At 37.9% G+C, this 23,990-nt stretch overlaps 1 protein-coding gene across 27 annotated transcripts in view; it reads left to right on the top strand.

The window, feature by feature from the left end:
• Positions 1-23,990, top strand: part of NEK1 (NIMA related kinase 1) — a 219,775-nt gene that overhangs the window by 33,024 nt on the left and 162,761 nt on the right. For 12 of the 27 annotated variants that reach the window (NM_001440624.1, NM_001440621.1, NM_001374419.1 and 9 more), the window contains 7 exons: positions 2,481-2,632; positions 17,364-17,423; positions 17,669-17,728; positions 17,823-17,873; positions 18,006-18,080; positions 23,465-23,628; positions 23,709-23,840. In NM_001440624.1, the coding sequence (NP_001427553.1) occupies positions 2,481-2,632; positions 17,364-17,423; positions 17,669-17,728; positions 17,823-17,873; positions 18,006-18,080; positions 23,465-23,628; positions 23,709-23,840 (694 nt within the window). Of the gene's footprint in view, positions 1-2,480; positions 2,633-17,363; positions 17,424-17,668; positions 17,729-17,822; positions 17,874-18,005; positions 18,081-18,405; positions 20,530-20,851; positions 21,002-23,464; positions 23,629-23,708; positions 23,873-23,990 lie in introns of those variants that run through there. The other 15 variants (NM_001440625.1, NM_001440623.1, XM_011532004.2 and 12 more) reach the window with 7 other exon arrangements.

Genomic DNA, 23,990 nt, shown 5'->3' with positions numbered 1-23,990 from the left:
CTTGGCCTCCGAAAGTGCTGGGATTACAGGCATGAGCCACCAGCTGCATTTAGCCCTTCTTAAAGACCCTTACACATCCTCTCATTGCAGAGACCACCAATCCCTGAGAAGTCAACTCACTTAGAATTTACAAGAGACCAAGAATCAGCATGATTTCTCTGGGCAGTGGGCAGTCAAGCTTCGTAGAAGTCATATCTTAATCAAAAGGCTCTTTGTCACAAAAGCTGGAAATACCCAGTGTCAGCACGTTCTTTCCACATGGATAAACCCATATAGGAATTAGAAAGTAATTTGTCGTAAGAGCATTTGGTTGAATGAAATGCTTAATAGGAGTAGTATTACTGATAAATACTTTGTCGCCTCCAGTCCCCTATGTTAAACTTCATGCCATAGGTAGCCTTGTCAATGATCCTGAAAAATACTCTAAAATCAGATAAGTAATTCTTTCTTTTCTCTGGAAAGTAGATGGGACTGTTCATATTTGTTTCTTAGAAATCTTTATTTTTTATGCTTTTGCGCCTCTAGCCCCTTTTCTGGCATGCGCTGTATTTCTTTGATTCTATTAACACGTTTAGCCAGGTTGCAGTATTGTGACTGTGTGTGTATATGTGTATGTGTATGTTCTAATTTGATTGTACTGTTGAACTCTCAAAGGGAAATCTTTTTTTTCTCATGCTTCCTGGTTTCTGGGTCAAGATGCAGTTGGAGTATGTGTTTGGAAAACCTTACCCTATCACGTCGTATATCCCATATTGTCAACAAAAATTACTTCTGAATCTCTAAAATGCCGACTTAATGGCTTATATTGTTTTTATTTTTAAAACAGTTTACTAAATTATATGCAAAATAGATATTTATTATAAAAATGTTTTAAAAGAAAAATTACCCCAATTTTAACACACACTGTTATATTTGATATATTTTTCTGTGATGATATATGCATAACTACAAATTGAGAATGCGTTATTAGAAGTTTTGTTTCTTTTAATTTATACTATTATATGATGAACATTTTCTATTACAATTACATTTTTTTGAAGAACTGAGTTTAGTCGTAGGATTTCATTTTGAACTACCAGTTAAATTTTTTTCTCCTTTCCCCTCCTAAAAAGTAAGAACACTTCTGGAAGAGATTGATTTAAATTGATTTAGCACAATATAAAATCCTGAGCTAGAGAGCAGTCTGCAAGTGGAAGAAAGCAAGCTGCTGCTTAGGCTTTAGGGGAGTTTGAGCAGAGGGGTATCTTGGCAGATATTAAAAATAAGAGAGGGAAAGAGGGTTTCAATAAGGGTTTATGTAGACTCTACTCTGACTTCTTTTAATATCCTCCAGAGATGTGAATAAATAGTAGAATTTCCTTTTTATTACCTTAGGGTGTTTTTCTTGAACTTATCCCTTCTAAGACTGAACCTCATCTAGGCTTCATTAAGGGTTAAATACATAATACTGCAGGGTTTATTCTTGTGCATGGAGTTTCTCTGATTATTTCTTTAATAATCAATTCATAAATAATATTCTTAATATAGATTGCTCTCCAGAAAGTGTAACCAATTTATATTTCTGCCAGCAGTCTTTAAGGTACCCATTCTGTGGAACCCTTAATGATAATGATTGTTTTAAGATATTTCTTTTTTGTCAGGTCTGTAGGTATAGATACCATTCAGACATTATATGAAGGAAAAAAGTTGCTTATATTGATGTAATTAATGCTTAACAGTGGCTCTTGATTATCTTCTGATTTTGAAAGTAGTTTCTAAAATGTGAATTTTTTAAAAACTATTATTATTATTATTATTATTATTTTTGAGACGGAGTCTCATTCTGTCGCCCAGGCTGGAGTGCAGTGGCGCAATCTCGGCTCACTGCAAGCTCCACCTCCTGGGTTCACGCCATTCTCCTGCCTCAGCCTCCCAAGTAGCTGGGACTACAGGCGCCCACCACCAGCCCAGCTAATTTTTTGTATTTTTAGTAGAGACAGGGTTTCACCATGGTCTAGATCTCCTGACCTCGTGATCCACCCGCCTCGGCCTCCCAAAGTGCTGGGATTACAGGCGTGAGCCACCGCGCTTGGCCTTTATTTTTAACAGCTCTATTGATACATAACTTACATACCATACAGTTTATACATTTGGTGTCTACAATTAAATTTTTTTTAGTATATTCATGATTAAATTATTTTTAGTATATTCACCGATACGTGCAACCATCACTCACAGTCAATTTCAGGGATTTTTTTTTTTAATATTAAAAACTTCAACATGTTAGAGGAATTTGGCTTTTAGCTTCTGTCAAAAAGTGACTTTAGGGTAAAATAGTTAAGGCATTAGTAAATACTAAGGGATGAATTAAGATATTTGATAGAAAGTTTAAAATACTATCAATGATTATGAAAATTAAACAGTGCTATCTTGAAGAATTCTGAAAGTAAAGAGTTAATGTAAAGAACTGCAGACAAAATTCTTTGTATCTTTTCATCTAGCTAAAAGACCAGCTTCAGGACAAAACTCGATTTCTGTTATGCCTGCTCAGAAAATTACAAAGCCTGCCGCTAAATATGGAATACCTTTAGCATATAAGAAATATGGAGATAAAAAATTACACGAAAAGAAACCACTGCAAAAACATAAACAGGTATGATCATGTTACATACCATGTGTTAATAACAAATTCAATTCAACCTTATTTCATTGCAGCTCAATTCAGTTACCTTGATATTATAGGATTACTTTTATTAAGTTACCAAGGAATGTCCTCCTTCTGTGTTTTACCAGTCCTCTAAAACTGAGAAGCCTTACAGGAGTCATAAAAAGTCATTAAGTAAATATATTAAGTAATATAATTAGTGTAATAAAAAGCGAGTGACATTATAAATGAAATAACTTTTGAGCAACCTAAGCAGAGCCATTTGTTTTTGTGCATAAATGAAATAAATACCTATGACATTCTTGATAAAAATCTGGAAATATTTGGTATTTGAGAATTCACAATCAGATAAACAGAATCATAGAGCTGGAAGGAATGTGATCATATAATCTACTCTGTCATATTTCAGATGAAAAATGAAGACCTGTAGAATTTAAGCGACATGCCCAAGAACACAGTGATAGTTGCAGGAATTTGACATTTTCTTTATGTCAGTAGCTGCATGCTTTGGTATATGGAGCTTGTTTCATTTTGGATTACATACACATACATATACATATACACAGCCTTAGATATGTATGTATACACACTGCTGTAAGATAAACTTTATATAGTAGGAATGATCAGTCACTTTGTTTAAAATCTATCATAGGTCAGGTGTGGTGGTTCACGCCTGTAATCCCAGCACTTTGGGAGGTCAAGGCGGGTGGGTCACTTGGGGTCAGGAGTTCCAGACCAGCCTGGCCAACATGGTGAAACCCTTTCTCTACTAAAAATACAAAAATTAGCCAGGTGTGGTGGCGCACACCTATAGTCCCAGCTACTCAGGAGTCTGAAGTGGGAGAATCACTTGAACCGGGGAGGCGGAGGTTGCAGTGAGCCAAAGAGTGCGCCACTGCACTACAGCCTGGGTGACCATGAGATTCTGTTTCAAAAAAAAAAACAAAAAAGAAATTTAGAAAAATTATAATAATAAAATGAGAGATTGTAAAAAAATTTTTTTTTTAAAGCATGCAGTAATAGCAGATACAGGAAGCAGCTGCTATTCCTAGTGCTGAGGCAGAGTACCCAAAGAAGACACAAATTTTTAAAGAAACCCTAACCCCATCGCGAAGGCTGAGATTCAGACCTTACTGGGTAGGGTATGGCAGTAGCTCACTCGATGGCCCCACAGTCTGGGGCTGGCAAAGAGGAAAGTGTCCACTGTGGAGCTGACGAAACTCCCTGCGAAACTGCCTGGAGTGTCAGTAGAATGTACTGGGAAGCCACTTGAGGAGCCGTTGAACTCACTGGGAAGCCTGCTGGGGTGCCAGTGGAACTTATCTGGTGCTGCTCTAGCTGGGATGCTGGCTGAGGCACCAGCAGAATTCTGTGGGAAGCTCTTCTTGCAGGTGCTGCTGAAACTCACAGGGAAGCTGGTAGGGGCACTGGCCAAACACTCCTGGAAGGTGCCTGTAGGGGTGAGTGCTGCTGTTTGTCCCACTTGCTGCAGTAACAGGAAGAAAGGAAACACACTAATCAGGAAGAGAAGCTTCTGCCTTTGCAGTGACCCTCTCAGTTTTACTGACAAAGCTTAATATTGTGTTAGCAATCAAAGAAGAAATGTTTACAACGTCCAGCTCTAGCATCACAAGCTGGACAATGAAGAGTAGATTTGGAGCTGAGGGGCAATATGGTAACTGGCCTGCTGGTTTTATCTATCTTTAAAAAGATGTATTCAAACCTAAGTGGGCCAATTCCATCTTATCGTTTTATCTCTCTTTACTTCAGTCACCACAGGAAGCCTAGGACTCCAGCTTTCCCTCACTGCCTAGACTCTCCTATTGCTGTAAGACTCTGGTCATACTCTGATCTGCCCCCACCCCTGCATAGTTTTCTATAGGTTGGTGCAAAAGTAGTTGGGGTTTTTGTCATTGAAAGCAAAACCGCCATTACTTTTGCACCAACCTGTAATCTCTTCCAGAAAACTCTCTTATAGTACATTCTTGGCAAAATCCACTGTATTTTAAACTTCTAAAGATGTCTTCACCTTTTTTGCTTGAAAACCTGGTTTGTCCCTGAACACACTGTTCTGCAGCTGTCTTACATGCTGGCTGTTTTCTCTAATCCCTTAATATTATTGGGTCTAGAGGTAGGATGAAGGAAATGTTTCCCTTGCTTCTCATTGCCAGACTCTCCCTGCTGCCTGATCCTGCCATTCTCCTCATCTCTCTACCTTGATGCTTTTGCTACCAGACTGTATCACCTACTGCTCTTCTGTGTTAGGATCATCTGTAGACACTTGTCTTTTTTTTTTTTTTTTTTCTTTTGAGGTGGAGTCTCCCTCTGTCGCCCAGGCTGGAGTGCAGTGGCACAATCTCAGCTCATTGCAAGCTCCGCCTCGCGGGTTCACGCCATTCTCCCGCCTCAGCCTCCTGAGTAGCTGGGACTGTGGGACTACAGGCGCCCGCCACCACACCCAGCTAATTTTGTTTTTGTATTTTTATTAGAGACGGGGTTTCACCATGTTAGCCAGGATGGTCTCGATCTCCTGACCCCATGATCCGCCCGCCTTGGCCTCCCAAAGCGCTGGGATTACGGGCATGAGCCACCACGCCCCGCCAACCCTTGTCTTTTGAAGAGTTTAACACCTGACTCACTGTCACTCCTTCCAATATTGTCATAATTCTTTACAGTTTTAGTATAAAAAAAGATGATACTTCCTATAGAACATGGCCTTTTGTTTTCATTTTCTTTCTTTCTCTTTTCTTTTCTTTTTGAGAAAGAGTCTTGCTCTGTTGCCCAGGCTAGAGGACAGTAGTGCGGTCATGGCTCACTGCTGCCTTAACTTCCTGAGCTCAAGCAATCCACCTCCTCAACTTCCTGAGTAGCTGAACCACAGGCAAGTGCCACTACACCCAGCTAATTTTTTATTTTTTGTAGTGGTGGGGTTGCACTATGTTACCCAGGCTTGTCTCAAACTCCTGGGCTCAAGCAATGCTCTTGCCTTGGCTGCCCAAAAAGTGCTGGGATTACAGGCATGAGCCACCGTGCCTGGCTTATTTTCTTGATCATTCTCTTTCAAATATCTTGTCTCCCACTTTAACTTGAAACTCTCACCTATGGCCATGCCATTAAAATTTTTATTATCAATAATAACAACTCTTTCTTAGCCTCATTTATAATCATCCCGTTCCCTGATCACCACTTCCTGTGTTTCTAGCTTACTTCTTTAGGAGTCTGCCTCCAAAACATCTGTCCCATTTGGATCCATGAATCCTAATAACTTCCTTTATTCCCCCTCTTTGTTTCTATTTTCCTTACCTGGCTTAAATTCCATATTCATTTATAATAATTTCCAAATGGTCAGCTCTCTTGCCCTCTCTTCCATTATTACCAATAACCAAAAAACTTAACTTTGTGAAATCCAACTCTCCACTTCATTTGTGCCTGAAGCTGGTCAGTGGAATATGGCTGGAGAAAGCATATGACTATTGTAACTAGTCTAACTTTCAATATGTAACCAACAATATCAAATTAGCACCTTCTGGTCACCCTATTATATTTCCTCAGTGTATTTACTCTTCTACTTCCTAGGTGATTATTTTTTACCTTCTCTTTGCTTTTCACAAGGACCAATATTTTCTTCCTACTTCACTGAGAAAATAGAAGCAATTGGAAGAAAACTTTCCCACAATTACTTCTGCTAGTCAGTCTTACCTGTTGGCAAATATTTTACCTTTCTTCGTTTTACTTTGGATGACCTGTTTCTGTTCCCAGTTAGGATCAACTCAATCATTTGCATACTGTGATTCTTTTTTGCCTGCTAAAGGACTTTGCGCTCTCTCCTGCATCATTATAGTTTTTTCTCTCTACTGAATCATTCATGTTAGCAAACAAATATCCTATATCTTAAGTCTTTTTAAAAAGGAACTTTCCCTTATGTCCTTCCAACTACCTCTCTATATTTCTGGTCCCTTTAACAACAAAACTTTCCCAAAAGATTGTCTATACTGTCTCCAGTTCATTTCATTTTGAACCCACTTCACTCATGGCTTTCTTTGTCACAGCTGTTATGAAACAGCTGTTGTGAAATGGCTCCTGATGTCTATATTATTAAATCCATGGGTCATTTTTCTTCTTCCTTGACCTCAGTTTTTGACTCACTTGATTGCCCCCTCCTTCTTGAAATATTTTCTTCATTTGAGTCCCTGGTATTACATTCTTCTGGTTTTCTTCCTACCTCATTGACTGCTGCTTCTCAGCCTCCTTTGCAAGTTCCTCCTCACCTCCAGGGCTTTTAAATGCTGAGGTGCTCAAGGTCTCAGGCCTCAGATATCTTCTTTTTTGTATCCATACGAACTTTCTAATGGATAACATCTATAAGCTGACTCTCAAATTTGTATCTCCACCTTGGACTCCTTTCCTGAACTGGAGACTGATACCTGTCTTAACATCTCCAGCTGTGTTTCTAATAGACATCTCAAAATTACCATATATAAAAATGAACTCTTGATTTCATTCTCTCTCCAAATTGATCTTACTTATTTCAGTAAATGGGAACTCTGCCCTTCCATTTGTTCTCATCTTCCATATTGGAGTCATTATTGACTACTCTTTCTACGTCATATCCTGTCAATTGTGACTTCAAAATATATTCACGGTCTGACTACTTCTCATTATTTTTACCACCATATTAGTCCTAGCCACCCTCACTTTCCACCAGGGTTATAATAATCTCATGATTAGTCTAACTGCTTTCAGACTTACCCTCTTAGTCTGTTCTCATGTGAGCAGCCCAAATGTTCCTTTTATGATGGAAGTCAGATCGTTACACTCTCCTGCTTGAAACTTTTCAGTGTCTTTTCATCCCACTCAGTAAAAGCCAGGGTCGGCCGGGCCCGGTGGCTCCTGCCTGTAATCCCAGCACTTTGGGAGGTGGGCCTTGTGACCTTGATCTCACGATGTCAAGAGATTGAGACCATCATGGCCAACATGGTGAAACACCTTCTCTACTAAAAATACAAAAAAAAAAAAAAAATTAGCTGGGCATGGTGGTGTGTGCCTATAATCCCAGCTACTCAGGAGGCTGAGGTAGGAGAATTGCTTGAACCTGAGAGGCAGAGGTTACAGTGAGCTGAGATCATGCCACTGCCCTCCAGCCTGGAGACAGAGTGAGACTTGGTTTCAAGAAAAAAAAGCAAGCCAGAGTCTTTACAACTGTCTACAAAGCCCCCGACAGCCTCATTACCTTTCCAAGTCTCATTTGCTACTCTTCCCTTGCTAGTCCCGGTACAGCCTTGCCAAACCTGTTGTCCTTAAACATGCCAAGTACTTACCTGCAAAAACAAGTTTGTACTTGCTGCTGTCTTTTCTTTGAGGTCTGTGCTCAAAACTTGCTTTATGAATAGAGCCTTTCTTGATCACACTATATCAAGTAATAACCATCCCTCTACGCCATTCCCACGTTTCTACTCTACTTTACTCTGCTTTGTTTTTCTCCACAATGTTATCACTTTCTAATCTATTTTCAATTAGTTTATTACCAGTTTCCTCCACTACAGTGCAGAAATTCATGAGGGTAGGGATTTTTGTTGTTGTTCACTAGTTCCTGGCAAATAGTTCCTGGCCTCAAGTAATCCACCTACCTTGGCCTCCCAAAGTTCTGGGATTACAGGTATGAGCCACCGCAACCAGGCTAAGCTTTTATTCTTTTTATTTATTTATTTATTTATTTATTTATTTATTTATTTATTTTTTTATTGATCATTCTTGGGTGTTTCTCGCAGAGGGGGATTTGGCAGGGTCATAGGACAATAGTGGAGGGAAGGTCAGCAGATAAACAAGTGAACAAAGGTCTCTGGTTTTCCTAGGCAGAGGACCCTGCAGCCTTCCGCAGTGTTTGTGTCCCTGGGTACTTGAGATTAGGGAGTGGTGATGACTCTTAATGAGCATGCTGCCTTCAAGCATCTGTTTAACAAAGCACATCTTGCACCGCCCTTAATCCATTTAACCCTGAGTGGACACAGCACATGTTTCAGAGAGCACTGGGTTGGGGGTAAGGTCACAGATCAACAGGATCCCAAGGCAGAAGAATTTGTTCTTAGTACAGAACAAAATGAAAAGTCTCCCATGTCTACTTCTTTCTACACAGACACGGCAACCATCCGATTTCTCAATCTTTTCCCCACCTTTCCCCCCTTTCTATTCCACAAAACCGCCACTGTCATCATAGCTGGTTCTCAATGAGCCGCTGGGCACACCTCCCAGATGGGGTGGTGGCCGGGCAGAGGGGCTCCTCACTTCCTAGCAGGGGCGGCCGGGCAGAGGCACCCCTCACCTCCTGGACGGGGCGGCTGGCCGGGCGGGGGGCTGACCCCCCCACCTCCCTCCCGGACGGGTATGCTGGCCGGGCGGGGGGCTGACCCCCCCACCTCCCTTCCGGACGGGGCGGCTGGCCGGGCGGGGGGCTGATCCCCCCACCTCCCTCCCAGACTGGGCGGCTGGCCTGGTGGGGGGCTGACCCCCCAACCTCCCTCTCGGACTGGGCAGCTGGCCTGGCGGGGGCTGACCCCCACCTCCCTCCCGGACGGGGTGGCTGCCGGGCGGAGACGCTCCTCACTTCCCAGACGGGGTGGCTGCTGGGCGGAGGGGCTCCTCACTTCTCAGATGGGGCGGTTGCCAGGCAGAGGGTCTCCTCACTTCTCAGACGGGGCGGCCAGGCAGAGACGCTCCTCACCTCCCAGACGGGGTCGCAGCCGGGCAGAGGCGCTCCTCACATCCCAGACGGGGCGGCGGGGCAGAGGCGCTCCCCACATCTCAGACGATGGGCGGCCAGGCAGAGACGCTCCTCACTTCCTAGATGGGATGGCGGCCGGGAAGAGGCGCTCCTCACTTCCTAGATGGGATGGCGGCCGGGCAGAGCCGCTCCTCACTTTCCAGACTGGGCAGCCAGGCAGAGGGGCTCCTCACGTCCCAGACGATGGGCGGCCAGGCAGAGACGCTCCTCACTTCCCAGACGGGGTGGCGGCTGGGCAGAGGCTACAATCTCGGCACTTTGGAAGGCCAAGGCAGGCGGCTGGGAGGTGGAGGTTGTAGCGAGCCGAGATCACGACACTGCACTCCAGCCTGGGCACCATTGAGCACTGAGTGAACGAGACTCCGTCTGCAATCCCGGCACCTCGGGAGGCCGAGGCTGGCGGATCACTCGCAGTTAGGAGCTGGAGACCAGCCCGGCCAACACAGCGAAACCCCGTCTCCACCAAAAAAATACGAAAACCAGTCAGGCGTGGTGGCGCGCGCCTGCAATCGCAGGCACTCGGCAGGCTGAGGCAGGAGAATCAGGCAGGGAGGTTGCAGTGAGCCTAGATGGCAGCAGTACAGTCCAGCTTCGGCTCGGCATCAGAGGGAGACTGTGGAAAGAGAGGGAGAGGGAGACCATGGGGAGAGGGAGAGAGGGAGAGAGGGAGGGAGGGAGAGAGGGAGGGAGGGAGAGAGGGAGAGGGAGAGGGAGAGAGCTTTTATTCTTAATGTTTAAAAGCAGCTGCTGACGATATCCCAGTTACTCTTATTTGATCATTACACATTGTATGCATGTGTCAGAATATCACATCTATCCCATAAATATGTACAATTATTATGTATCCATTTTTAAAAATAAAATCTAATGTAAAAAAACTACTTCAGGTTGAGGTAATGAAAAGGAAGCTCTAGAACATTTGAAATTGATTCTGTACCTACATATCTAATTCTTGAAATAGAGACTTTATTAAAGTTATTTGGTTCTTTGAAGTAATTTGAGTAGTATAACTTTGATCTGTAATTTTTTTCTGTGAAGTATGTATTTTAATAAACTTGCTATAACTTTTAGTGTGCTTTTAAGAGTTTTATATAATAAAAGCGTAAAACATATCCCCAGTATTTACACACGCATTTAATTTTACTAAATTTTGTTGTGGACCTTCCTATTTGTTTTTTGGGTTTTCTTTTTTTTTTTTTTGAAATGGAGTTTTGCTCTTGTCCCCCAGGCTGGAGTGCAATGGCGTGATCTCGGCTCACTGCAACCTCTGCCTCCCAGGTTCAGGCAATTCTCCTGCCTCAGCCTCCCGAGTAGCTGGGATTACAGGCATGTGCCACCATGCCCGGCTAATTTTTTTGTATTTTTAGTAGAGATGGGGTTTCACCATGTTGGCCAGGCTGGCCTCGAACTCCTGACCTCAAGTGATCCACCCGGCCTCCCAAAGTGCTAGGATTACAAGCGTGAGCCACCACGTCCAGCGGGCCTTCCTATTTATATTCAAATATATATTGCCCGTATTTTTAATATAGCTCAGAAAGTTTATAGATAATTTTGTGTTCTAGTGTTTTTACTTAGTGTTATATATACTTTTTGTATATTTTTACTTGTGATTATCAGTAGTTGTATTTCATTGGTATGAAATCAGTCAGGTGGGTTGGATTCTTATAAATGTCCTTTTTTAAAAAAATGTGCCGTGGATCAAAATTTCTTTGGAAATATGTTTTATGTTTTCTAATAGAGTTCAGTGAAATATGAATTCAAAGTAAATTTATTTCATGGACCATTTTTAAGATGCTTATTTATTCTAAATGGTTTACAAATGTAATCCATTTTAATGTTTGGAATATATACACATGGAATTCTCTGTCTTCCCATGGAATAAAACTACCATTGTGGGGGTAGAGAGAGATGGGAAGTTGGGAGTGTTTGTATCTTTACGTCATTATGTCTGTAAGGAATACACGCTCGAGTGGACTTGTAGAAGCGAGTTGCCTTATCTCTTGGCCATGTATCAGCCTGACTGAATGGAGAGATCAGAACTGTTGGTGAATCTGGATAAATGATATCATAGAAAGTCCCTAGTGTTTGGGTAGGATTGTAGCCAAGTGTATAATCTGTTTCTTCATATGGCTGACAGAATCAAGTAATGTGTTGGTTTTCTTAATGTTTTCCTTATTTTCCATTAATATTCAGTATATAAAAGCAGCATGCTTTGGAATTTTCAGATTTCAGTTAATAATATTCTGAATAATATCTCTACTATCAAATATTCTGAATCATAGGCAAATGATTCAGATGGTAGTTATAAATGTTTTGAATTTCAGGCAGAGTCGTTGCCCTCAAACTTCATCAGGCAGACAAGTATGGTCTGAGCTAGACCATTGAGAACTAAATAATAATCAGCCCTTGAAGTATTATATAGCTTATTTTAAAAACATTTCACTGGCTAGGTGCAGTGCCTCATGCCTGTAATCCCAGCACTTTGGGAGGCCGAGGCAGGTGGATCACTTGAGGTCAGGAGACCTGCCTAACCAACATGGTAAAACCCCGTCTCTAGTAAAAATACAAAAATTAACCAGGCATGGTGACATGTGCTTGTAATCTGGCTACTTTTGAGACTGAGGCAGAAGAATCACTTGAACCTGGGAGGTGGAGGTTGCAGTGAGCAGAGATGGTGCCATTACACTCCAGCCCAGGTGACAGAGCGAGACTGTGTCTCAAAAAAAAAAAAATTTTTTTTTTCACTTAAAACTAAGTTTCTGTGAACAACAATGTGAAAGTATTTAATGCCACAGAACTGCACACTTAAAAATGGTTAAAATGATAAATTTTGTTTTATGTATTTTACCACAATGAAAAAAACATTTGAAGAAAAGAAAAAGTAAGTAGGAAAAAAAAGAAACGGCAGTCGATTGTGTGGAAAGTTTTTCAAATCTTCTAACAAAAGAATTAAAAGAAAATAAACCCCAGATTTCTGAAGTATTTTAAATATGATTTTTGCATGATTGTAAATATAGGTTTTTCCCTTGATTTTTTTTTTCTTTTTTTTTGAGACAGGACCTTCACTACACTCAAGCCATAGTGCAGTGGTGCAATCTTGGCTCACTACAACCTCCACCTCCCAGGCTCAAGCAATCACCTCTGCCTCCCAAGTAGCTGGGACTACATGTGCATACTACCACACCCAGCTATTTTTTGTAGAGACGGGGTCTTGCCATGTTGTTCAAGCTATTGTCAAACTCCTGGGCTCAAGTGATCCACCCACCTCGGCCTCCCAAAGTGCTGGGATTACAGGCATGAGCCACCACACACGGCCTTTCCCTTGATTTTTTTTTATCTCATTTTTTTAAAAGACTTCTTTTCCCCCTGGAAATTAAAGCATCTTTTAGGTTGAAATTCACAATGGCCCGTTAGAATTTTTAACTTCAAGCCTGAAAAAGGAAAGCTTTAACCACTTAAGATACTGTCATGTTTTAATTGCACAAATTTAAGCTAATGTGCATTAAGTTGTTATTATTCAACCTGTCCACAAAATATTCATGTATTGTGAGACTTTTTTTTGCTCCAGTTCCTGTAAGTCATAGGTTTTTTTTTAAAGGCTCTGTTAAAGCAAAGGAGTGGCCATTAAGCCACCAGAGGGAGCTCCTTGAATATATTATGTTATACTTCAGTACTTTGGCTGTGATTTTTAAAAAGAACACAAACAGTTCTCTCAGTGTGGATGTTTTGTGTTTCGTATTATTCTCTTCACTATAGAAATAGTGTTCTGAAAATACCTGTGTGATCTTAGAGGAACAGCTTAGTATTTTCATTTCATAAATATTTGAATATCTTATATGTAAGGCAATATGAACCATTAGAAGATGAATACAATCTTGGCCTTTATGTAACTTACCCAAGAGTATATGAATATGTAAACATTCTCTTCTTATTCCACACTATTGTGTAATATATATATAATCCAGTTATTTATATTAAGTTGCTGTATTAATGTTTTTAAATTGCTTAATTGTTTGGTGTTGTAGTTCACAAATTTTGAGAATGGTGCTAGACTGGCTACTAAAGTTAACCTGTGCAGCATGTCAAAATATGGAATGTAGGGCTCTATGTCCAAAGATTATGATTTAGTAACTCTTGGGATATGTATTTCTAAAAAATAGCTTTATTGAGATATAATTCACATACTGTACGTAATTCAGCCATTAAAAGTTTTCAATTAAATGGTTTTATGTATTTATAGAGTTGCATAACGATCTGCACAGTCAATTTTAGAACATTTTTATCACCCCAAGGGAAATCCTTTTTCCATTAGCAGCCACTCCCCATTCTTCCCCCAACCCCGCAGCCCTAGGCAGCCTCTAATCTACTTTCTGTTTCTATACAGATTTGCTTAATCTGAACATTTTATATAAATGGAATCATATAGTATGTGGTCTTTTGTGACTGGCTGCTTTAACTCAGCATAATGTTTTCACAGTTGATCTATGTTGTAGCATGTATCAGTACTTCATTTTCTTTTTGTTGCCAAATATTCGTTTGTATAGAAGGAATATGTATTTTTACAAAGCTTCTGGGTAATGTTCCCCACTGTTTAAATTCTGTATACATAGAACATACCTTGAAATGTTAACTGTGTTTTTGTAATGATACTATGAGGAGCATTATCTACAATTTTTATTTCTTGTTCTTCAACAATAGTGCCCCCAGAGATCTCTCATAATTATTTTAAAACAAGGGGTTGCTATCCATTAGTGGTGGCAAAAACATTGTAGTGGGCAAAGAGCAGGGAATTTTTTGTTTGTTTGTTTCAAGTGATAGAAAGTAGCAGGGTCTGCTATACATATAGTGAAGATATTTTATGAAACTTAGGGGTGTGTATGTATCTTCCTGAGTCCAGATGGGAAATATATTTCTTATTGTGGGTCGCCTTTAGAAAAAGTTTGAAAGCTAATGTTCTTTAAATATTTCAGTATTGTTTTTATCTCATCAACTCTAATGTCTTTTCTGAGGTAAAGTGGTAACGTAAATGGTTAGCTTAAGTAAGAGTTGAATTGAAATAACTAGCCAAAATTAGAGGTTAGGAGTTAGGAACTAATAATACAGTGAGGGTGTGGGATAGTTCTAAGAACCCACTGCTTGGGTTATTTTGTCAGAGAGTAAATGCATTCTTTAGTTAGTCATAAGAGTGGAATCAGGTGTGAGATTTAGTACCGCTTATCACTTTGTTGCTATAGCCTTGAGTTAAAACATACCAATAAAATTGGCTTATGATCATTTAATTAAAATGCCAAAGCACATTACAAAAGACTCATTATTATCATTTATAAGTTTATTAACCCATTGGGTGGTATTACATATTTTAGATATCAGCATTTTCCTGGTCTCATACTCAATAATATATTCATTGAAGTAAAATAGTTGTGTTTCATTAGAAAGAAATATGCAGTTTAAATTATACCATTGCTTTCTAAAGCAGAAATGTTATCCTCTTGAATTGTTTTCAGTGAAAGTAAATTTTTGTATGCCTTTCTAATTTTTTAATATATGGTGACACATTTATTTCAAAAATGATGTGAGGGTCATGTTTATTTTGTAATATTTTGAATTTGCTTTTCAGGGTTAGAATTTTAGTGCCTATCTGTTATGGTCATTCTACATAATTTAGAAAACTGAAGCACAGGATAATATATAAAACTAATTTTATATCAATGACTTATGTTAAAATATAGCTGCTGTTAAAATGGAATTGTTAGTAGAGACAACTTTTAATGATATAATCAAATGCTGGATTATTTTACTAATAATGTAAATGACCATCAAAATATTTTTCCCAAGTAATTTTTTTAAGTAATGTCTGCTTTCCTTTGTATTGAAATCCAGTGTAGGTGAAAAATTGTACAGTATGCTTTTTAAATCTTTTTTTAAGGTGGCTGAAAAATGTAAACACTGGTACATGATAGAATAACTTAAACTTTTCTATAAATTTTTATCTTTTTTGGTATATAGAATTGTAGTTAGAATTGTTTGAAAAATTGATCATACATTAGGCTTAACCTTGATTACAAAATTGTGTAGTTAACACAGGGTAAAACAAAACTGTAGATCACTTGTAAGAACATATGCAGAAATCCTGGAAAAAAGAAAAGGACTTAAAAAGGGGAAAATCAGGCATTTTATCAAAAAATAATGTAATAATTATCAAATAGGATTTATTACAGCAATACAGGGACGTTTCAACAGTAGAAAACCAGTTACTGTAATTTTACTGCATTAGCAGATTAGAGAAGAAAACCATATAAAAATCATCTCAGTAGATGCTGAAAATTCGGTGAAACTTAACACTAACTTTTGTTTTTAAAAGTTTGATTCAAGAAACAGAAGGTAAGTTCTAATACAGTATGTATACACACCTGAAACCTATGGCAGGCTTTGTACATAATGATGAAACATTGGAAGCATTATCATTAAAGTCAGGAACAAGACAGAGGGATTTGCTGTCATTGCCATCGTTAAATTATGCCAGAGGTTCTAGCTAGAGCAATTAAAAGGAAAGAAATGTAAATATTGGAAGAGGAGAGAAAACATAGACATATCGTATTTACATTTGATATGATTACCTACCTAGAAAATCGTGGTGAAGCAGCATTAAACTATTAATAAATTAAATAAAGTGGCCTGATGGAAGGGCAACATGTAAAAAATAAATGATTAGAAAATAAATGGAAAGAATTACCCACAAACCCCCCAGATACTTGATTTTTTTATTTTTATTTTTTTTTTTGAGACAGGATCTCGCTCTGTCAGGCTGGAGTATAGTGATGTGATCATGGCTCATGGTAGCCTCTACCTCCTGGGCTCAAGAGATCCTTCCACCTCAGCCTCCTGAGTAGCTGGGACAACAGGTGTGGGCCACATGCCTGGCTAATTTTTAAAAATTTTTTGTAGAGATGGGGACTCACTATGTTATCCAGGCTGGTCTCAAACTCCTAGGCTCAAGCAGTCCTCCTATCTTGGCCTCCCAAAGTGCTAGGATTACAGGTGTGAGCTACCACATCAGTCCCGCCCCCAAATACTTTAGAATAGACCTAATGAGTAAAGTATAAGATAATTGTGAAAGAAAGGAATCAAAATTAATAGAATGCTATATATCCATGAAGAAAACAGATGCAGATATAAATAATAACATGAATGAACCTTGAAAACAGTGTTGAGCAAAAGCAAGATACAAAAGAATATATATTGTATGAGTCCATTAACAACCCCAAAGTTAGGTAAACAGTATATAAAAGAAGAAATGTAAATATCTAATATATACCATTATGCATTTCATCCATGTAACCAAAAACCACTTGTACCCCTAAAGCTATTGAAATTTTAAAAATTAAAGTCATTTTATTAACACATTAATATTACATGTATGTAAAAATCATAGCTAAAATTGTTGTATGTATATAGTTGAACTGTATATATAAGTACAAAAATAATCTCTGAAGGACACTAATGAAAATATTAACAGTGGTTACCGTTACTCTGGAGGTGGAGAGCAAAATAGACCCTAAATTTTTAATCTTGTTTGAATTTTATATACTGAATATATATTGTGTCACTAATTTTTTTAAAAAAATTATCTCCATCATTGGGCTTTTCAAATGATAGTCTATGATAATATTGGAAAACTTAAACATCCATACCTGAACACAAAACTGTTTAGTTGATGATTGGGGAAGGACCCTTTTCCACAGTTTCTTTGAATCTAATGTTTCTCTTTGTTTAACAGCATATCAAAGACTACGATTTTTTTTTTTAAGATAATGTAATTTGGAAGAGAGTTATGGAAGTATTGACTTTACCTTTTTCTTATCTTAAATTTCTGTAAATTTGGGATTTTCAAATAAGTGCCTCAAAATCTTTATTTAATTTGTAGTTTTACTTTTTGTCCAGGCCCATCAAACTCCAGAGAAGAGAGTGAATACTGGAGAAGAAAGGAGGAAAATATCTGAGGTATAAAGACATCTGTCTGGTTATTTTAAAGCTTTGCAAACATAATTTTAAAAAAGAAACAAAATCTTACTATAAAGCCTCCAAACCTTTCCTTATTTCTTTCAAACGAATACCTATAACTTCTTTTTTTTTTTAAAAAAAAAACCTCATTGAACATACCTCTGCCATTGGTGTACTAACTTTCCTGATGAAACTAGAAAAAACAGGAATTATTATGGATTAAAATGTTCTTTTTTTTATTTAAGGAAGCAGCAAGAAAGAGAAGGCTGGAATTTATTGAAAAAGAAAAGAAACAAAAGGATCAGGTAGTTTTTTGCTCTTGTTTTTCTACCTTTGGCAAGTTGTTAAGTGATAATAGGTTCAAGAGTTGTAAGAAGCTTGTCTTTAAAATTGTTACAGATTATTAGTTTAATGAAGGCTGAACAAATGAAAAGGCAAGAAAAGGAAAGGGTAAGAGGATAATCTATTAAATATACTTTTTTCTTAAGGAATACACTGATTTTCAGTTTATTGCTAAATGTATTACGTGTATTTTATATTAAATACTTGAAATGGTGTTTTGTTTATTTCTTTTCCCCAAAGTTGGAAAGAATAAATAGGGCCAGGGAACAAGGATGGAGAAATGTGCTAAGTGCTGGTGGAAGTGGTGAAGTAAAGGTAGGCATTTTATACCAATATGGTTATACTACCATTTTCCCCTCCAGTTCCACCTTGTTCTATAAAATGCATGTACTTGGGATTTTCTTTCTTTCTTTAGTGTACAATTAATTTTTACCTAGAATTCTTTAACATTTATTATGAATACTTAGCTTTCCTGCATGTATCTGATATGTAACTTGTGTTGCTGTTATGTGACTATACTCAAAATTGCTTTAAAAGTTTTTTGTGAAGACTATGATAACATTATTCCTGTCAGGAATTTTTAAAAATTATGTACAATTCATGACACTGCAGCCTAAAATCGTTCTGTAATTTCATGTAGCCTTGAAGATTAAGTTCTCAGAAGATGCTTCTTAATCTGATCCCTGTTGTCTCTCCAACTTCATCACCATCCATTCCCTACCACATACTGTATGCTCTATTCATGCTGAAATGAAGACTATATTTGTAGTTTCATTACTATATGTGGTTTGCCAAATCTCTTTGTCTTTGCACTTGTGTTTCCTTTTACTTAATAGCACTCTCCATCCCTCCTCACCCTCACGTCCCACCTCCATCCATTTAGCTAAATAACCAGTTACATAGATGAGTTAATCTAAACATTCCTTCTGGGTAGATCCACCCTATTTAACCTTGGGCACATTACTGAACTTTTCTGAGCTTTGGTTTCTTGATTTAAAAAAAAAAAAAAGTTTTTTTTCCAAGAACAGTGCCTGGAACCTGTCTGGCAAGGGCTTCTATAGTAATTTCCCTTTCCTTTCTTTGTTCTGCCAGTCTGAATCTTATACTTCCTCTTTTATTCATACAGCATCCTATACATATCTCTATTTGTAGTTGGTAGAATTCTAAGATGGTCTCCAAGATTCTCAACTGCGGTATACACACCTTGTGTTATTCCATTCCCTTGAGTATAAGTGGTACCTGTAAATACTGTAGTATAGCAGCTCACTTGATTAGGTTATGTTATATGGCAAGTGGTGATGGGATGGTCTCTCCCAGGGTTACGTTAACATATAAGACTCCTTCATAGCTGACTGGAAGGGGAAAAGAAATTAGAGAGAGAGAATTCTGCTCACCTGGAAGATAGTAAACATTCATGTGGCAAAACAGTAGAGATGACCTCTACAAGTAGTGGTCTCTAATGAGCAACTAGCAAGAAAATTGTGGTCCTAGTCATACAGCCACAAGGAAATTAATTCTGCCAAGAACCAGTAAACTTGGAAGAGATCCTGAGTCTCAGGTGAGAATTGTAACCCTGGCTGACACCTTGATTTCTGCCTGGTGAGATCCTGAGGAGGGGACCCAGCTAAATGCACCCAGATTCCTGAGCCAGGGGAACTGAGATTATAAATAGATATTGTTTTAAGCTACTAAATTTGTGATAGTTTGTTATACAGCAATAGAAGATGAATGCACTAATTTGTATCATTGAATAAACTGTAAGTCAATACATCTTTTTATTTTTTTGAGATGGAGTTTCGCTCTTGTTACCCAGGCTGGAGTGCAATGGCACGATCTCAGCTCACTGCAACCTCTGCCTCCCGGGTTCAAGCGATTCTCCTGCCTCAGCCTCCGGAGTAGCTGGGATTACAGGCATGCACCACCACGCCCAGCTAATTTTGTATTTTTAGTAGAGACGGGGTTTCTGCATGTTGGTCAGGCTGGTCTCGAACTCCCGACCTCAGGTGACCTGCCTGCCTCGGCCTCCCAAAGTGCTGGGATTACAGGCGTGAGTCACCGTGCCCAGCCTAAGTCAATACATCTTCAAACTATAAGTTTCACTCATGTACACCCATTAATCTTGATATTTAGATGTACAATAGATACTTGTCAAATTGGATCAATTATAATTCTTGGTTTTTTTTCTCCAAAAGTTATAATTTGAATAAAAGTTTGTTTTATCTAGACATATACATTCTGCCCTGGATTTATAGATTTGTTTTTCAGTCTCTTGAGGTGCAGAAGTTCTTCATATCATAGTAATAATTCATTAAGAGTAACTTTTTCCAAATTTGTATTAATATAGATTATACAGTGTTTTTAGTAGTATAATTTTATCTTACCTTTAAGTAGAACTTATTACCTCCTGAATGATCAGGAATGACTTAGAATCTGGTCCATTCTAAAATAACTAACCTCACATCTTACCTGATTGGAAAGAGAAAGCTTATCAACTTGTACTCCTTCAGATCTCAAGCATTTTTTTATCAAGTCCGTGATTAGCACTGAAGTTTTGATGATTTATTCTTCTCCCTTTTGTGTAATAAAGTGCTTTTTCCTATGATGTCTAATACAGTATTAATCAGTTTTATTAATGTTTAATAACTGAGACAATTTTCAAGTTACATACTGTGTACTGAATAGATTTCTGCATCACTTTATAAACTTCTGTAATGCTTTCATTGAAGATTAATAAAACAATTTATTTTCCATGATTTAAAGGAAATTCTATGTTAGTTTCTATATTTATTCCTCATTGAATTTGAAATATTTTAACTTGTTAGGCTGTTTGATTTCTACATAGTTGATAAGGACCTGGAGGCTCAGTATCATATGAATCAAATTAAGGAGATTCCCCAAAAGAAAGATAAAACTAAAACTAAAGTATTTCAAAATTAATACTATTATTACGTACTTCTAAATAAGAGGCATTTTTATTCATAGTATAAATATCCAATGTAAATGTTTTTGATTATTTAGTATCTGCAAAATCTGGACCTTCTTTGTTTTATCCATTTTTAATGTGTCTTTTATGAATGTGTTTTTAGAAAAATTATATATTCCACATGTATGGTTATATGGTGATTATAATATGGAAGAGGTGTATCTCTTGTTTGAAAATATATTGGAATACCATTTGGCAGTAAAAAGAATAGCCTGTTTATACATGCAACACCATGGATCAATCTTAAAAACCTGTGAGTGAAAGAAACCAGATAAAAGAGTACATATTTATGATTTTATTTACATGACATAATGGGAAAGGCAAATCCAACCTGTAGTGACGGAAAGCAGATCAGTGGTTGCTGACAGTGCGAGCATTTACTGCAAAGGAACACAAGGGAACTTTCTGGGGTAATGGATATGCTTTTGATTGTAGTAGTGGTTATGTGAGTGTCTACATTTGTCAGAATTCAGCCTGTGCTTACAATTGGTGAATTTTTATTGTACATAAATTATGTCTCAAACAAACATATTTCATCAGTATTCTCATATAGTATTTTCAACATTATTTTGAGTATGAGCATCTTCTGAGATGTTTACCTACTTTTGTTTTTGCTAAAGAGAAATGGAGCACTCAGTCAAGTTAAGATGATATTAGCATTGGGCTAAATTCAAAGAGTAACCAGTTTCATAGGAAATATGACCACCTTATAACTGAATTCTGATTCTTGACTTCAGATGTACATTTTGAGGATGTATGTAAGGACCACCTTGATGGAAGACAAATTTTGTCTTATTGGGTTACACTGAAGTTTCTTTTATTGGATTCTGACATTTTTCTTTGTTTCTTTTATTATTATTTTATTTATTTACTTATTTTTTGAGACAGGATCTCACTCTGTCACCCAAGCTAGATTGCAGTGGTGGGATCATGACTCACTGTAGCCTTGACCTCCTGAGTTCAAGCAATCTTCCCATCTCAGCCTCCTGAGTAGCTGGGACTACAGACACATGCCACTGCGCCCGGCTAATTTTTTGTATTTGCAGGGATGTTGTTTCGCCAATTTGCCCAGGCTAGTCTCGAACTCCTGAGCTCAAGCAATCTGCCCACCTCAGCCTCCCAAAGTGCTGGGATTACAGGCATGTGCCACCATGCCTGGCCTTTGTTTCTTTTTTTAACCAGGCATTTTCCTTAAGATGTTATCACCTGGAAGTTTTCCCTTTTTTACTCTCATTATTGTGGCTTCTGTTCTCATCACTTCACACACTCAGAAAATGGTTTTTTTAAAGGCTTCCACTCAGCCTTAGTCATATCTGGTGGTCTTATTCTCAGATAAGAAAAGTTAAAATAAGTTGACCTTTGCATTTGAGGTTATTGATTTCTTCTTAATGAAATTCTTTCACCATGACTTCTGTAGCATTATACAGTTTTTATTTACTTTTACCCTTATCCTTTTCTGACATCTCTATTTTTTACTATGAGTTTTCCATGTGGTTGAGTTCTTATGTCTCGGTGGTTGAGTCTTTAAGTCTTTGCCTTTATCCTTTGTCATTCCTGCAGAGAATCCAAACTTCCTTCAGCAGTTACTTTTTCATTGATTGCCTTTCTTGGCTTTCCAGGCTTCTTGGCTTGGTGTCAGGGCAGCAACATCCTTCTAATTAATTCCTCTGCCTTACTTTCTTATTTCTGCTTACCATGCATAATATTGACTTACTGACCTTTAAAACTCTGTTGATATACTACTGCTGCTAGAAACTTTATAAATCCTTTCTATTGTTATTTATTATTTGAACGCAAACACCAAGGGCAGATAGCATTTAGCATTTAGCTATACCAAGCTTTTATAGCCAAACTTAATACTTAATACTTTGCCTTCCTTGTATTTGTCATCATACTTCCTTCCTCTTCCACCTTCCATACCTAAATATATACATACATTGATTATTTTTACTTTAATGCCTTGGCTCATATTTACTCTCCTTACATTGCTATCAAGACCAGATTAAACAATATCTCTCCCCAAGGCCTTTTTTCTAAATAAGGATTTTACTGTTGATTTTTTTTTTTTTTTTTACTGTTTTGTGGATTTGCTCAGCACTTACTACTTTGGAATTTCTCTGTTGTCACTTGTTTACCATAGAATTGAATGTTTTTCTAGTTTTGTGCTATTTTTCCCAACTTACTTGGAAACTAAAGATAGATATGACTTTTTGCCTCTTTTATATACATATAGAACATGTTTTAATAATGTTTATACCTTCATATCTGCTTGGTGAATTTAAAGATTTGGGGTATATTAAAAGCCATATGCAGATGTTTTTGTTAAATATAATTCTGAGTGTTATATAAAAGGAGGCTCTCATAAGCTATACATAAACAACGGAACAGAATTACATGAAATGTATATTGGAAGCTTGTTTCAAAACCTGTTAATTAAGATCAAATTTTTCCATATTTACATGAAATTAGTGTCATTTTGCTGTTTTTGTTTGTCACATTATGCTTTATTATCAATTACAAAGTATACTGCTTTTTGGTTGTTAATAGTTATAATAGGAAAACATTTTGCTTTAGGCTTTATGTTTGTTAGTATGTTCATATTAAGTAATTACTTTTTAAAAGTGAAGCATTGAAATTTACTTTTTCTTTTGAGACTAGTACAGGCCTGTTAGGCCTTATAAGATAAACATGTGAGAGCTCTTTGTTTAATCCCTAGGCTCCTTTTCTGGGCAGTGGAGGGACTATAGCTCCATCATCTTTTTCTTCTCGAGGACAGTATGAACATTACCATGCCATTTTTGACCAAATGCAGCAACAAAGAGCAGAAGATAATGAAGCTAAATGGAAAAGAGAAATATATGGTCGAGGTCTTCCAGAAAGGTATGGCTATGTTCTGCAGAAGTTGCTTATGCTTTGCTTCTGAGATAGTAATGAAAGTCACTGTGCATATTTATCTACAGAGGAATTCTGCCTGGAGTTCGTCCAGGATTTCCTTATGGGGCTGCAGGTCATCACCATTTTCCTGATGCTGATGATATTAGAAAAACTTTGAAAAGATTGAAGGCGGTGTCTAAACAAGCCAATGCAAACAGGTTGGACTGTGATGATCCATGAATTCATCCATGTGTGTAATTTTGTCGTTTGTCATACATAGCTTAGTACCTACACTTTGTGGATGTTTTCTCCATTGTTCACATATGATGTTTTTTGCCTCTTGGGTACAATAATTTTCTGAGGTGCAA

The sequence above is a fragment of the Homo sapiens genome, chromosome 4 (assembly GCF_000001405.40).
Source record: "Homo sapiens chromosome 4, GRCh38.p14 Primary Assembly".
In the NCBI taxonomy this organism is placed as follows: Eukaryota; Metazoa; Chordata; class Mammalia; order Primates; family Hominidae; genus Homo; species Homo sapiens.
The sequence above is the reverse complement of the archived record's forward strand: the minus strand, read 5'-3'. Positions and strand labels throughout refer to the sequence as shown.